The sequence below is a fragment of the Homo sapiens genome, chromosome 3 (genome assembly GCF_000001405.40).
Source record: "Homo sapiens chromosome 3, GRCh38.p14 Primary Assembly".
In the NCBI taxonomy this organism is placed as follows: Eukaryota; Metazoa; Chordata; class Mammalia; order Primates; family Hominidae; genus Homo; species Homo sapiens.
The window spans coordinates 61499415-61515627 of NC_000003.12; the positions used below are offsets into that span (position 1 = coordinate 61499415).

Here is a 16213-nt window from a genome sequence, read left to right on the forward strand (position 1 = left end):
GCAGCATACAGTTGGGTCACATTTTCTTATACACTCTACCAATCTGTCTTTTTATTAGTGTATTTAGACCATTTACATTTAAGGTAATTGTTATGTTCTCACATATATCTGTCATTTTATGTTTTAATTATTTAATGTTAAGTTCACAGATACATGTGCAGGTTTGTTATATAGGTAAACGTATGTCATGGGGCAGTATTGTGCAGATTATTTCATCACCCAGGAATTAAGCCTAGTATCCATTGGTTACTTTTCCTGATCCTTTCTGTCCTCCCACCCTCCATCCTCTAAAGACCCCAATGTGTGTTGTTCCCCTCTATGTGTCCATGTGTTCTCATCTTACAAGTGAGAATATGCAGTATTTGGTTTTCTGTTCCTGTGTTAGTTTGCTAAGGATAGTGGCCTCCAGCTGCATCCGTGTCCCTGCAAAAGACATGATCTCATTCTTTTTTAAGACTACATAGTATTCCATGGTATACATACCACATTTTCTTTATTCAGTCTATTATTGATGGGCACTTAGGTTGATTCCATATCTGTGCTATTGTAAATACTGCTGCAGTGAACATATACATGCATGTGTCTTTATAACAAAATGATTTCGTTCCTTTGGGTATATACCCAGTAATGGAATTGCTGCGTTGAATGGCATTTCTGTCTTTAGGTCTTGGGGGAATCACCACACTGTCTTCCACAATGGCTGAAGTAATTTACATTCCCACCAACAGTGTATAAGCGTTTCTTTTTCTCCACAACCTTGCCAGCATCTGTTATTTTTTTGGCTTTTTAATAGTACCCATTCTGACCGGTGTTAGATAATATCTCACTGTGGTTTTGATTTGCATTTCTCTAATGATCAGTGATGTTAAGCTTTTTTTCACATGCTTGTTAGCCGCATATATGTCTTCTTTTGGGAAGTGTCTCTTCACGTTCTTTGCCACTTTTTAATGCGGTCATTTGTTTCTTGTAAATTTGTTTAAGTTCCTTATAGATGCTGGAGATTAGACCTTTGTCAGATGCATAGATTGCAAAAATTTTCTCCCATTCTGTAGATTGTCTGTTTACTCTGTTGGTAGTTTATTTTGCTGTGCGGAAGCTCTTTAGTTTAATTAGATCCCATTTGTCAATTTTTGCTTTTGTCGCAATTGCTTTTGGCATCTTCATCATGAAACCTTTGCCTATGCCTGTGTCCTGAATGGTATTGCCTAGGTTGTCTCCAGGTTTTTATAGTTCAGAGTCTTATATTTATATCTTTAATCCATCTCAAAGAGATTTTTATATATGGTGTAAGGAAGGAGTCCAGTTTCAATCCCCTGCACCTGGCTAGTCAGTTATCCCAGTACCATTTATTGAAAAGGGAATCCTTTCCCCATTGCTTGTTTTTCTCAGGATCGTTGAAGATCAGATAGTTGTAGATGTACAATCTTATTTCTGGGTTCTCTATTCTGTTCCATTGGTCTATGTGTCTGTTCTTGTACCAGTACCATGTTGTTTTGGTTACTGTAGCCTTGTAGTATAGTTTGAAGTCAGGTAGTATAATACCTCCAGCTTTGTTCTTTTTGCTTAAGATTTTCTTGGCTATTCAGGCTCTTTTTTGGTTCCATATGAATTTTAAAATAGTTTATTTCTAGTTCTGTGAAGAATGTCAAGGGTAGTTTAATGGAAATACAATTAATGGGACCTATAAATTGCTTTGGGCGATATGGCCATTTTAACAATATTGAGTTTTCCTATCCATGAACATGGAATGTTTTTCCATTTGTTGCTATCATCTCTGATTTCTTTGAGCAGTGATTTGTAGTTCTCCTTGTAGAAATCTTTCACCTCCCTGGTTGGGTGTCCTTCTAGTTATTTTATTTGTTTTGTGGCAATTGTGAACGGGAGTTCATTCATGATTTGGCTCTCAGCTTGATTGTTGTTGGTGGGTAGGAATGCCAGCAATTTTTGCACATTTATTTTGTATCCTAAGACTTTGCTGAAGTTGCTCATCAGCTTAAGAGGCTTTCGGGTTGAGACAATGGGTTTTCTAGGTATAGGATCATGTCATCTTCAAACATAATTTGACTTCCTCTCTTCTATTTGAATACCCTTTCTTTCTTTCTCTTGTCTGATTGCCCTGGCCAGAACTTCCAACACTATGTTGAATAGGAGTGGTGAAAGAGGGCATCCTTATCTTGTGCTGGTTTTCAAGGGGGAATGCTTCCAGGTTTTACCCATTCAGTATGATGTTGGCTGTGAGTTTGTCACAGATGGATGTTATTATTTTGAGGTATGGTCCTTCAGTACCTAGCTGATTGAGAGTTTTTAACATGAAGCGATGTTGAATTTTATTGAAATAATTTTCTCCATCTATTGAGATAATAATATGGTTTTTGTCTTTAGTTCTGTTTATGTGATGAATCAAATTTATTGATTTGCATATGTTGAACCAACTTTTCATCCCAGAGATGAAGCTGGTAGATAAGCTTTTTGTTGTGCTGTCGGATTTGGTTTGCCAGTATTTTGTTGAGGATTTTTGCATTGATGTTCATCAAGGATATTGGCCTGAAGTTTCCTTTTCTTTTTTTTTTTTTTTTTTTTTTTTGTTATTGTAGCTCTGCCAGTTTTTGGTATCAGGATAATGCTGGCATCATAGAATGAGTTACGGACAAGTCTCTCCTTTTCAATTTTTTGGAATAGTTTCAGTAGGAATGGTACCAGCTTTTTTTTGTACATCTGGTAGAGTTCAGCTGTAAATCCACCTAGTCCTGGGCTTTTTTGGTTGGTAGGCTATTTATTACTGTCTCAATGTCAGAACTCATTATTGGTCTGTTCAGGGATTTAATTTCTTCCTGGTTCATTCTTGGGCAGGGGTATGTATCCACAATTTATCAATTTCCCTAGATTTTCTAGTTCATGTGCATAGAGGTGTTTATAATATTCTCTGATGGTTGTTTATATTTCTATGGCATCAGTAATCCCCCCTTATCATTTCTGATTGTGTTTATTTGAATCTTCTCCCTTTTCTTCTTTATTAGACTAGCTAGTGGTCTATTTTATTAATTTTTTCAAAAAATGAGCTCCTGGATTCATTGATCTTTTGAATGGCTTTTTTTTTATGTCTCAATCCACTTTAGTTCAGCTCTGATTTTGCTTATTTCTTGTCTTCTGCTAGTTTTGGGATTTCTTTGCTCTTGTTTCTCTAGTTCTTTTAGTTGTCATGTTAGATTATTAACTTGAGATCTTTCTAACATTTTGATGTGGACATTTAGTGCTATAAATTTTCCTCTTAACACTGCCTTAGCTGTGTCCCAGAGATTCTGGTATGTTGTATCTTTGTTCTCATTAATTTCAAAGAGCTTTTCAGTTTCTGCCTTAATTTTGTTATTTGTCCAAAAGTCATTCAGGAGCAGGTTATGCAATTTCCATGTAATCGTGTGGCTTTGGATGAATTTCTTAGTCTTGATTTCTAATTTGATTGCACAGTGGTCAAACAGAAACTAGGATTGCAACCTCTGCTTTTTTCTGTTTTCCATTTGCTTGGTAAATTTTCCTCCATCCCTTTATTTTGAGCCTATGTGTGTCATTACATGTGAGATGGGCCTCATGAAGACAGCATACCAATGGGTCTTGGTTCTTTTGTGTGTGTGTGTGTGTGTGTGTGTGTGTGTGTTGGAGTCTTGCTCTGTCCCCCGGCTGGATTGCAGTGGCGCAATCTCAGTTCACTGCAACCTCCACCTCCCAGCTTTAAGCAATTATCTTGCCTCAGCCTCCCGAGTAGGTGGGACTACAGGCATATGCCACCATGGCCAGCTAATTTTTTGTATTTTTACTAGAGACAGGATTTCACCTGGTTGGCCAGGCTGGTCTCAAACTCCTGACCTCAGGGGATCAGCACGTCTCGGCCTCTCAAAGTGCTGGGATTATAGGCGTGAGCCACTGTGCCCAGCCAGGTCCTGGTTCTTTATCCAGCTTGCCATTCTGTGTCTTTTAATTGGGGCATTTGGCCCATTTACATTTAAGGTTAGTATTGATATTCGTGGATTTGATCCTGCCATCATGATGTTAGCTGGTTATTTTGCAGACTTGTTTATGTGGTTGCTTTATAGTGTCACTGCTCTGTGTACTTCAATCTGTTTTTGTAGTGGCTGGTAACAATCTTTCCTTTCCATAATTAGTGCTGCCTTCAGAAGTCTTGTAAGGCAGGTCTGCTGGTAATGAATTTTCTCAACATTTGCTTGTCTGAAAAGGATCTCATTTCTCCTTTGTCTATGAAGCTTAGTTTGACCAGATATGAAATTCTGGGTTGGAATTTCTTTCCTTTAAGAATGCTGAATACTGGCCCTCAATCTCTTCTGGCTCATAGGGATTCCACTGAGACGTCCACTGTTAGTCTGTTGGGCTTCCCTTTGTAGGTGACCAGGCCTTTTTCTCTTGCTGCCCTTAACATTTTTCTTTTATTTCAACCTTGGAGAATCTGATGATTATGTGTCTCAGGGTTGATCTTCTCACTGAGTACCTTGCTGGCGTTTTCTGCCTTTCCTGAACTTGAATGTTTGCCTTTCTAGTGAGGTTGGGGAAGTTTTCATGAATGGTATCCTGAAATACATTTGCCAAATTAGTTCCATTCTCCCCATCTCTTTCAGGTATACCAATTAGTCATGGATTTGGTCTCTTCACATAATCCCATATTTCTTGGAGGTTTTATTCATTTCTTTTCATTCTTTTACCTCTATTCTTGTCTGCCTGTCTTATTTCAGAAAAACTACCTTTTTTTTTTTTTTTTTTCTGAGACTGAGCCCCAGTCTGTCGCCCAGGCTGGAGTACAGTGGCACAATCTTGGCTCACTGAAACCTCTGTCTCCCGGGTTCAAGAGATTCTCCTGCTTCAGCCTCCCAAGTAGCTGGGATTACAGGCACCCACCAACATGTTTGGCTAGTTTTTGTATTTTTTGTAGAGACGAGGTTTCACCATGTTGGCCAGGCTGGTCTCAAACTCCTGACCTCAAGTGATCTGCCCGCCTTGGCCTCCCAAAATGCTGGGATTACAGGCATGAGCCACCACACCGAGCCAAGAAAACCTGTCTTTAAACTCTGAGATTCTTTCCTCTGCTTGGTTTATTCTTGTATTAATACTTGAGATTGCATTATGAAATTCTTGTATTGTGTTTTTCAGCTCTATTGGGTTCATTATGTTCCTCTCTATATTGGCTATTTTGTCTGGTAGCTCCTGCAATGTTTTATCGTGATTTTTAGCTTCCTTGCATTGGTTACAACATATTTTTCTAGCTCAGTGAAGTTCATTTTTATCCATATTCTGAATTCTATTTCTGTCATTTCAGCCATCTCAGCCTCAGCCCAGTTCCGATCCCTTGCTAGAGAGGTGATACAGTCATTTGGAGGAAAGAGAGCACTCTGGCTTTTTTAGTTTTCAGCATTCTTACTCTGATTCTTTCTCATCTTTGTGGACTTACCTACCTTCAATCTTTGATGTTGCTGACCTTTGAATGGGTGTTTTTTTTTTTTCTTTTAATAGTCTGGCCGCTTTTCTGTAGGGCTGCTGCAGTTTGCTGGGGTTCGGTTCCAGTCCTTAATCACCTCAGATTTTCCAGTATCTAGACGTATCACCAGTGAAGACCGCAATGCAGCAAAGATGACAACTTGCCCCCTTCCTCTGTGAGCTCTGTCCCAGGGAGGTATGGACCTGTTGCCAGCACAAACCCATCTGTAGGAGGTGGTGAAGGACCCCAGTCGGGAGATCTCAACCAGTCAGGAGGAATGAGACAGGAGACCGGCTTAAAGAAGCCGTCTGGCCATGCTTTTGTAGAGTGGCTGTGCTGTGCGGGGGTACTGCCTCTGCCTCTGGTTAGCTTAGGCTCTCCAAAAAAAGCATGGAAGCTGGAACAGCTAAGTCACCCAGCAGCAAAATGGCAGCCCACCCCTCCCACCAAGAATTCTGTCCCGGGGAGAATGCAAATCTCTGTCTGCTGGAGAACACCGGCAGGGGTAGCCAGAGGGCCTGGTTGGGAAGCCCTGCCCAGTGAGGAGGAATGGATCAGGAACCAGCTTAAAGAAGCAGTCTGGCTATGTTTTGGTAGAGCAGCTGTGCTGTGCTGGGGCATCCTGTATGCCCCCAGTCAGTTTAGACTCTCCAAAGCCCTCAGGCTAGAACAGCTGAGTCGTCCAAACAGCAAAGATGGCAGCTCACCCTTCCCCATGGGAACTCCATTCCAGGTAGGGACAACACTGTTGCTGGTGGTTGGCTGGAATTCCAAGCCATTGGGTCTTATCCTGTGAGGCACCATGGAAGTGGGGCCCTCATTCCGTTGCTGCTCGGCCCCCTGGATTCAGCCCCCTTCCTACGAGTATGTACAGAGGTCCAACCTCCCACCTTGCTGGAGTTGCAGTCACTTTTGCTGGGAAGCCTGGAGCCAGAGTATGTAAAGCTCCTGGGCCTCCACATGTGCCTGAGCAGCTGCTCTGCTGAGGCTCCATGCAGCTATGTGTGTCAGACTGAAGGCCCTAGTGGAATGGGTTCACGAGGGGATCTCCTGATGAGGGTTGCAAAGATCCATGGGAGAAGCATGATTTCCGAGGGCCGCACATTCACTCACCGCTTCCCTGGTTTGGGGAGGTTCCCCTGGCTCCGTGTTGCTGCTCCTGGGTGAGCCATTGTCCTGTCTTGCTTTTCTTCATTCTCCTGGGTTGAGTTGTTTCCTTGATTAGTCCCAGTGAGAGTACCTGGATGTTTCAGTTGAAGGTGCTGTATTTGCTAACCCCTTTTGTTCCTCTTCGTGAGAGCCACACACTGTAACTGCTTCTAGTTGGCCATCTTGGCCTGAGTTGTTTTTTTTTCCTCTAGATCTCACTTTACTGTTTCTGTTTTGACTTCCTGTGCATTACTTGAACATTTTTTAGAATTCCATCCTGACTTATTTATAGCGTTTTTCAAAAATATAGTTGACAACTATATTAAACACAGGTTTGAACCGTGTGGGTCTACTTATATGCAGATGCTATGGTTGTGATGTTTGTCTATTCTAAACCTCATGTTGAAATTTGATTTCCAATGTTGGAGGTGGGACTAATGGGAGCTGTTGGGTAGTGGGGACAGGTCCCTCATGAATAAATTAATGCCCTCCCTTAGGAGTAATGAGTTCTCACTCTGTTAGTTCCTCTGAGAGCTGGTTGTTTAAAAGAGCGTGGCACCTCTCCACTCTTTCTTGCTTCCTACCTCACTATGTGATCTCTGTACAGCCAATTCCCTTTCACTTTCTGTCATGAGTGGAAGTAGCCTGAAGCCCTCACCAGATGCAGATGAACAATCTTAAACATTACAGCCATCAGAATTGTGAGCCCAATAAACCTTTTTTTCTATATAAGTTACCCAGCCTCAGGTATTCCTTTACCGCAACAATGAAGAGACCAAGACAGCAGATTTTCTTCTGCCTCTGCCATCCCTGAGACAGCAAGACCAACTCTTCTGCCTCCTCAACCTGCTCAATGTGAAGATGATAAGGATGAAGACCTTTATGATGATCCACTTTCACTTAATAAATAGTAAATATATTTTATCTTCCTTATGATTTTTAATAACATTTTCATTTTTCTAGCTTGATTAAAAGAATACAATATACAATACATATAATATACAAAATATATGTTAATCAACTGTTTATGTTATCAGTAATGCTTCCAGTCAACAGGAGGCTATTAGTAGTTAAGCTCTGGGCAAGTCAAAAGTTTTACATGGATTTTTGACTGCCAGGGGATTGGTGCCTCTAACCCCCACGTTGTTTACATATCTTTGTATAGTGTTACTCTGGGTATTTTAATATACACATGTGTCATAACACGTACCAGTATCATTTTACTTTTACTTTTTTTTTTTTTTTTTTGAGACGGAGTTTTGCTCTTGTTGCCCAGGCTGGAGCACAATGGCACGATATCGGCCAACTGCAACCTCCGCCTCCTGGGTTCAAGCGATTCTCCTGCCTCAGCCTCCCGAGTCGCTAGGATTACAGGCGCCTGCCACCATGCCCAGCTAATTTTTGTTATTTTTAGTAGAGACGGGGTTTCACCATGTTGGCCAGGCTGGTCTCAAACTCCTGACCCCAGGTGATCCACCCGCCTCGGCCTCCCAAAGTGCTGGAATTACAGGCGTGAGCCACCGCGCCCGGCCCATTTTACCTTTCTAAGTATAGAATCCCAATTCCATTTAGGTCCCTTTACTTTCTCCGCTTTTAAATATCATTGCCTCTAGCATCAAATGGTGTTATAATTTTTATTTCAATCATTGAATATGATTTATTAAACTGCTGAGGAAAAAGATAGCCTACGGTATATATTTATGTTTCTGCTTTTTCTGTTCTTCCCTTTTCATTCCTGATGCTCCAAGATTTATTTTTTATTATTTCCTTCCTGTTTTAAGAAATTCCTTTAGCCAATCTTTAATGGTAGCTCTACCAGCCACAAAGTTTTTTAGTTTTTCTTGTCTGCCACTGTTTTCTTTTTTCTCTTTATTCCTGAACAATAGTTCCACCAGATATAGAATTTATGGTTGACAGTTGTTTTCTTTCAACACTTTAGAAATAATGTGATACTTCCTTTGGCCCCCTTGGTTTCAGATGAAAAATTTGCTGTTGTTTGAATTGGTGTCCCCTATACATAATGCATTGTGTCTCTCTGGCTGCTTTCAAGATTTTTATTCTGTATCTTTAGTTTGCAAGTTTAATTATCATGTGTCTTGGCATGGACTTCCTTGGGTTTCTCATGCTTGGGATTTGCTCGGCTTCTTGGATGTGTAAGATTGTGTCTTCTGCCAAATTTAGGGAGTTTGCAGTCAAATCTCTTCAAACATTCTTTCAGCCCCACTCTCTTTCTTCTCTCCTTCTGAGACTCTGGTGATACAAATGCTGGATTGTCATATTACTTTCTTCAGGCCCCTGAAGTGCCTTTTTCTTCTATATGTTCAGATTGAGTGAATTCTATTGTTCTGTTCTCAAGTTCACTGATTCTTTTTTTTTGTTGTTTTTTTTTCATAGACACAAGCTCTCACAATGTTGCCCAGGCTGGTCTTGAACTCCTGGCCTCAAGTGATCCTCATATCTAAGCCTCCCAAAGCACTGGGATAGCAGACGTGAGACACCACACCTAGCCTCAAGTTCACTGATTCTATCTTCTCCCATGTCCACACTACTATAGACCCCATCAAGCAAGTTTTTAAAATTTTTATTATTATATTTTTCAGTTCTGTGATTCCCATTTTCTTCCTTTTTACATCTACTTCTTGACATTTTCTATTTTTTCACTTTCATTTGTTTCAAGAGAATTTGTAATTGATTGTTGAAAAATTTTTATGATGGATGCTTTAGAATCTTATCTCAATGTTGATGTCAGTTGATTGTTTCTTATTAAATTGTGATTTTCTTAGTTATTGGTTTTTGGAGTGATTCTTAATTGCATTCTGTACATTTTTCTATTTAATTAGGACACTCTGGGTCCTATGTTAATCTTTTATTTTGGGAGTCACCGTGTTTAGGTTTAGCATGTAAGTCTTGGCCTACTTTTGTGGAGCGTGGTTTCAACAGGAGTTTAATTTTCAGAGAGTTTGGGGTGTTATTTTGATGTATTTGGTTTATCTGATGCCTCTGGTGCTGCTGAAGGGATAGATGAGTTTTATTCAGACCAGACCAGGCCACCAGATGTCTCTTGGTGAGACAAGGATGAGGTGCGATTTACCTACTGTTGTCCCCAACTGCCTTGGCGTCTCTGGATGAGAGAGGATAGTTTTGAGCTCATGAGAATGAAGAAGCTTCCTAGACCAGGCAATGTGATATAGCTGGGGCTCTCCTGCAAGTTCCACATGCCTGCCTTGGTATCTCTTGGTATCTCTTGGCAGAAATAAATAGTCTCAGGCCTGGCAGGAAAAAAGAGTTTGTGGGAGTTTTTTTGTTTGTTTGTTTGTTTGTTTCTTTTTTTTTTTTTTTTAATGGAGTTTCGTACTTGTTGCCCAGGCTGGAGTGCAGTGGCACAATCTCGGCTCACTGCAACCTCCGCCTCCCGGGTTCAAGCAATTCTCCTGCCTCAGTCTCCCGAGTAGCTTCGACTACAGGCGCCCACCACCATGCCCAGCTAATTTTTGTGTTTTTAATATAGACGGGGTTTCACCATGTTGGCCAGGCTGGTCTTGAACTCCTGACCTCAGGTGATCTGCCCACCTCACAGATTTTCTGAATCTTAAATCTTGCATTCATAGAAGTTGGATTTCATTTGCTAATTTTATGCTAAGGATTTGGCATCAATGTTCCTGAGTGATACTTATCTGTAACTTTCTCTTTTGTAATGTCTTCCTCGGGTTTGAGGGTTAAGGTTATGCTTGCCACATAAAATGAGTGGGGAAGTATTCTCTCCTTTCTTTCCTGTTAAACATTGTGTAATAGAGGTTTTACATCTTCCTTGGATGTTTGATAGAATTCACTAGTAAAACCATCTGGACCTGGAGGATGTTTTATTTGTAGAAAGGTTTTCAATAATGTGTTTAATTTCTCTAATAGCTATATAGCTACTGAGATTTTCTGTTTCATCCTGCTCAGTTTAAATAAGTTGTATTTTTCAGAAAATGTGTTGGTTTAATGTAGCTTGTTGAATCTATTGACATAAAATTGTTTGTAACAGTGTATTATCCTTTAATGCCCACAGGATCTGTAACAAGAACATCTAATCCTTGATATTGGTGATTTGTATTTAATTTTTCTCCTGATCATTCTAGCTAGGGGTTTGTCAATTTTGTTGATCGTTTCAAAGAATAAACTTTTTGACTGATTAATTTTCCTTATTGCTCATCTGAGATTTTTTTCATTGATCTGCTCTTTGTTAGTTTCTTCCTCCTACTTATTTGGGTTTACTCTGTTCCTCCTATTATATCTTCTTGTAAATGTATAACCTTTAGTCATTGATATACAAATGTAAACTTTTATCTTTCATTCTAAATACTGTTCTAGCTTTATCCCACAAATTTCAACAAGTTATAAGTTCTTTATCATATAGTTCAAAATACCTTCTAATTTCTTCTATGATTTCTTCTTTGACCCATGAGTTATTTAGAAAAATGTTTATTTCAAAATATGTAAGAGTTTTCTCAATATTATATTGTTATTAATTTCTAATTTAATTCCTCTATAGTCAGAAAAATAGCTTATATAATTTAATTTCCTTGAATTTATTGAGACTTGTTTTATGGCCTAGCTTATGGTCTATTTTTATCAGTGTATACTAAGCCCTTGAAAAGGTATATTCAGCAGCTCCTGGTGTATAAGTATCAATCACATCAAGATGGTTGATGGTGTTATTCAAATTTTCCAAGCCTTTACTGATTTTTTTTGGCTAGCTTTTCTATAAATTGTTGTGACAGTGTATTAAAATTCAGTACTACACTTGTGGAATTGTCTTTTTCCCTTTAATTCTGTTGATTTTGTTTTTCACGTAATTGGAAGCTTAGAAGTAGGAAACAAAAAGATGTAGTCAGGAAATCTACATTCAAATTTGGGTAAGGCTGGACATGGAGTAATGTTAGAGCTACTAATTTTCATCTTTATTAAATAATGATTGTGTAATAATAATATTATCTTGCTGTTCAAGATTTATATGGTAAGACTTTATTATAATAAAAACAGTTATCAGGATAATCTGCAGGCACTTCCAGAAAAAATGTTATTAGATGGAGTTTAAATGAAATCCATTATAGAAAATTGTCTTAAAATGTATAAATACAAGTAGGAGGCATCATAACCATCATCACTATAAAATCAGAGCTAGAGTCTTCTACACAGTTCCAAGATTGTGTTTTATCAAGATTTTAGTACTAATAAAGTTAATTAGAGCTGTTTTCAAAACTCCTTAAAGTAATTATAATAAAGGGGAGCTGTTTTCTATGAAAAAAAGAGGTGAGCAGGTGGTAAAAATATTTTGAAAAGTGCAAAGGATACATTATATGAAATATAATATGATGAAAAGTATGAAATATATCTATACTTAATAGATATATTTAATATAGCATATGCATATGAAAAGTTGACTAAGATACATTATTAAATAAAAAAGAAAATTACAGAATAATATATAATGTGGTTTCTAAAAAGCATACAACTCTCTAAGTGCATATGAATATATGCATATTTGTACAGGCCTAGATCAAGAATGAAATTGTTAACTGTGGACAGCTCTGGGAGGGGGACTTCAGGATAGGGAATTGGCTGGCAGGGGCCTTGGGGAGTTGGGATGGAGAGGGAGGCATGGATGGAGAGTGGAGGGAACTTTTACTTTTTACTATTGTTTTATATTATTTGTATTTTCTTTTATAAGCAACATGCATTGTTAAACAAGAACTTTTTTTTTTAAGTTTAAGCAAAAGGGTGGGAAATAACTCTCCACTGCTAAATCTGACTGGATTTAAAAAATCATAAGTAAATAGTTTTAAAAATAATAACAACAATAATAATAAAATAGAAAATATGCACTGAAAAATAATTAAAGTTTCTAACATTGGGACAGAATAGAACCTGGGAGAAAGATAAAAAAGAACTCCCCAGCAAATTTACCTCTATAATGCAAGACTAGGTAAGATTACTGGAGTATTTTTTTTATAAATTCATGAAGATAATCTGTGCTGAGATTAATGATAATTATACATTGTAACCTGTTTGTTCTATTGGATTTTTAATCAAACTTTAAAAAAAAAAGCAAACACAAAGCTACCTCCTGAGCATTGTAGCACAATAGCAGCCTTCTCCTGTGCTGTCCTTTATTAGATTAATTAAATTAAATTGGTTCTTAGGGGATCACAAATTCTACAGAAGCCTAAAGGAAAAAGACATAGGGCTCCCTAGCCACCACAATATCGAATCAGGACGCGGTTTGATGGGGTGGTCAATGGAAAGACAGAAGGATTTGCCTGCAGACAGTAACATCTTTAAGCAGATCTATTTAGTCCCAACAAGATATGTTAGCCTGCTGAAGTGTGATAATTTAGAATGTAAAACAATCATATAACAGAAAGTGGTATTATCATTGTGTGGCAGACACTTTTAATTGCCAACCTAACAGTCATTTTCTTGTCCTTCTTTTTTTAAGAGACAGGGGTCTCACTATGTTTCCCAGTCTAGACTCGAACTCCTGGATGCGAGTGATCCTTCTGCCTCAGCCTCCCAAGTAGCTGGGACTACAAACACATGCCATGCACCCAGCTTCTAGCAGCCATTTTCCTACCCTGCTTTTTTTTTTTTTTTTTTTTTTTTTTGCCAGCAGAGCTTTCCTCATATTCCAAGAAGCTGAAAATCCAAATACTCAATTTCTGCACCTCTTTGAGTCAGTGCTTAGATATGTGATGAAGTCCTGTCCAATGGGACTGCAATAAGCAGAGAAATAAACAACAGAAATACTCTCTCACACCCTTCCTACTTTTGGACATTATTGGAGACAGATTTTATTTTTTTTTTTTGCAGCTGCATCTTGCAGCTATGAAGAAACACAGGTCACTGATACACTGAAGATGACAGAGCAGCAAGAAAGAATCTGGACTCATCAGTCAGCTGGGAACCCTACTTTGGATTCACCTACTTCTATACTTCTATACTTCTATTTGCTCTGCCCTGGGATGAGGAGGGGTCTTTGGTCTGCTCAGGGGTTGAGCAGAAATTGTGAGCAAAGAGGAAGGGTCAAGTATTGTCCATATTCTTGTCATAGTTAAGAGGACAACCACAGTGTTACAGCAGAAGTATTAGACATGTGAACAATGAAAGGTTTTGGCCGGGCATGGCAGCTCATGCCCGTAATCCTAGCACTTTGGGAGGCCAAGGTGGGCAGATCACTTAAGGTCAGGAGTTTGAGACCAGCCTGGCCAACATGGCAAAACCCCATATCTACTAAAAATAAAAAAATTAGCCTGGCATGATGGCACATGCCTGTAGTCCCAGCTACTCAGGAGGCTGAGGCACGAGAATTGCTTGAACCTTGGAGGTGGAGGTTGCAGTGAGCCGAGATTGTGCCACTGCACTCCTGCCTGGATGACAGAGTGAGACTCCGTCTCAAAGAAAAACAAACAAACAAACAAACAAAAAACAATGAAAGGTTTTGAGTTACTCTCTGTGGTCTGGGAAGGTTCTAGAGCCACAGCAGCAGGAAACAGAGGGTAAAATCCCCCTTGGGAGGCCTCTTGCCCCTCCCCTAAACAGAGCCTCATTTCCCACAAAGAACCTGTAACTTCCAGGCCAATCAGCAGTGACAGAAACTACCAGGCTTTTCAAAGCAGTGACCTAATCCATCCAATCTACTTCCTGTGCGAGTCATTTTTTATGCAGAATTGCTCACTGCGAGCATCAAGGCCACATGTCCTCTATGGATAACTCTTCTTCAGACACTTCGTCCTCAGAGACCCTGAAGACTTCTGTACCTAAATAATACTCCAGGCCAGGCGCGGTGGCTCACGCCTGTAATCCCAGCACTTTGGGAGGCCGAGGCAGATGGATCACGAGGTCAGGAGTTCGAGACCCTCCTGGCTAACACAGTGAAACCCTGTCTCTACTAAAAATACAAAAAATTAGCCAGGTGTGGTGGCATGCGCCTGTAACCCCAGCTACTCGGGAGGCTGAAGCATGAGAATGGTGTGAACCCAGGAGGCGGAGGTTGCAGTGAGCCAAGATGGCGCCACTGCACTCCAGCCTGGGTGACAGAGCGAGACTCTGTCTTAAAAAGAAAAAAAAAATAATAGTAATACTCCAGCTGAGGGCTGTAACTCCTGGGCAATAATAACAATAATATAATTATGGAATAGCTAACATTTACTCAGCTCTCATTCTTTGCCATTTACTAGTTTAAGTGTTTTCATGAACTAATTCACAATAATTCTATAAAGAAGACACTATCAATCCCTCCCATTTTACAGATGAGAACAGTAAGGCATAAAGTAATTTACCCAGCATCTCACATCTGGTAGGTAGCAGAGCTGGGCTATAATCCCAGGCAGCTTGGCTTCAAAGACTGTGTGCCCAGCTTCTACACAAAACTTCTTAGAAATAAGCTTCCATTAGAATGTAAGGGGAGAGCCAGAAGAAAGGAATTAATCTGAAGAACAGATTTGTAGAGGGACAATGCAGGGAAAGAGGGAGAACACAAGTGGACAAATGATTCCAATATGACTGAGTGACTTTCCCTGTGTCACCAAGTTATTCCAAGTCTAATCCCCTGTATTTCTTTCTTCTTTCTGCAAAAGTAGAGAAGGCATCACTGTAGTTAAGCTATCTCCATGAACTTGCCAAGGTTACTGACAAGGTTTGGATCTATCCCCACCCAAATCTCTTGTTCAATTGTAATCCCCAGTGTTGGAGGTGGGGCCTGGTAGGGGTGATTGGATCATGGTGGATCCTTCATGGATGATTTAACACTATCCCCTTGGTGCTGTTTTGTGATAAAGGGTCTCATGAGATTTGCGTGTTTAAAAGTGTGTAACACCTCCCCCTCCACACCCTCTTGCTCCTGCTCCAGTCATGTGACATGCCTGCTTCCCTTCTTTGCCTTCAGTCATGATTGTAAGTTTCCTGAGGCCTCCCCAGAAGCAGAGGCTGCTATGCTTCCTGTACAGCCTACAGAACTGTGAGCCAATTAAACCTCTTTTCTTTATAAATTACCCAGTCCCACGTATTTCTTCATAGTAGTGTGAGAACAGACTAATACAGTTACTAACCTCTTCTTCCAAGGCATCTACTTTTACTCTATCCATTCCTTCATTACTTTCGGTTTGTTTGTTTCATAATGTATTTTCCCCCTGCTAGACTTGAGCTTTAAGTTGCTGTTTTTCTTACCAATGTCTTGAAGACAAAAGATTGTGACAAAAGACACCCTTTTGATGACAAGGACTCAGTTTCGGTTTTCTTAAACAGAAAGGAGCCACAGGGTTGGCAAGATATACAAGAAAAATATTCCCTTTTCCTAGTGTTCCTTTCACCTAGGAGTACTCACAGCCAACATCAGACTGGGCTCCCAACATTACAACTCTTCAGTGACACCTACTCAAAGCCACTTTTCCCAGTGAGGATCCCATAGCACCCATGAGACTGGATCAGAAGCAGCTGCATTAGAACTTCCTCTAAGACAGTAATTCTCACCTCTAGGTGCAATTAGAATCACCTGGGGAGCTTTAAGAAGAAAACCCAAAGCCCACATTATGCCCCTGATCAATT

At 39.7% G+C, this 16213-nt stretch overlaps 2 annotated features.

The window, feature by feature from the left end:
- Nucleotides 5640-6140: an enhancer, noted in NCBI's record as "H3K27ac hESC enhancer chr3:61490728-61491228 (GRCh37/hg19 assembly coordinates)". NCBI's record gives its function as "activates a minimal SCP1, AML or CMV promoter by ChIP-STARR-seq in primed H9 embryonic stem cells {active_cell/tissue: H9 hESC(primed)}" and the evidence as "EXISTENCE:reporter gene assay evidence [ECO:0000049][PMID:30033119]".
- Nucleotides 6141-6641: an enhancer, noted in NCBI's record as "H3K27ac hESC enhancer chr3:61491229-61491729 (GRCh37/hg19 assembly coordinates)". NCBI's record gives its function as "activates a minimal SCP1, AML or CMV promoter by ChIP-STARR-seq in primed H9 embryonic stem cells {active_cell/tissue: H9 hESC(primed)}" and the evidence as "EXISTENCE:reporter gene assay evidence [ECO:0000049][PMID:30033119]".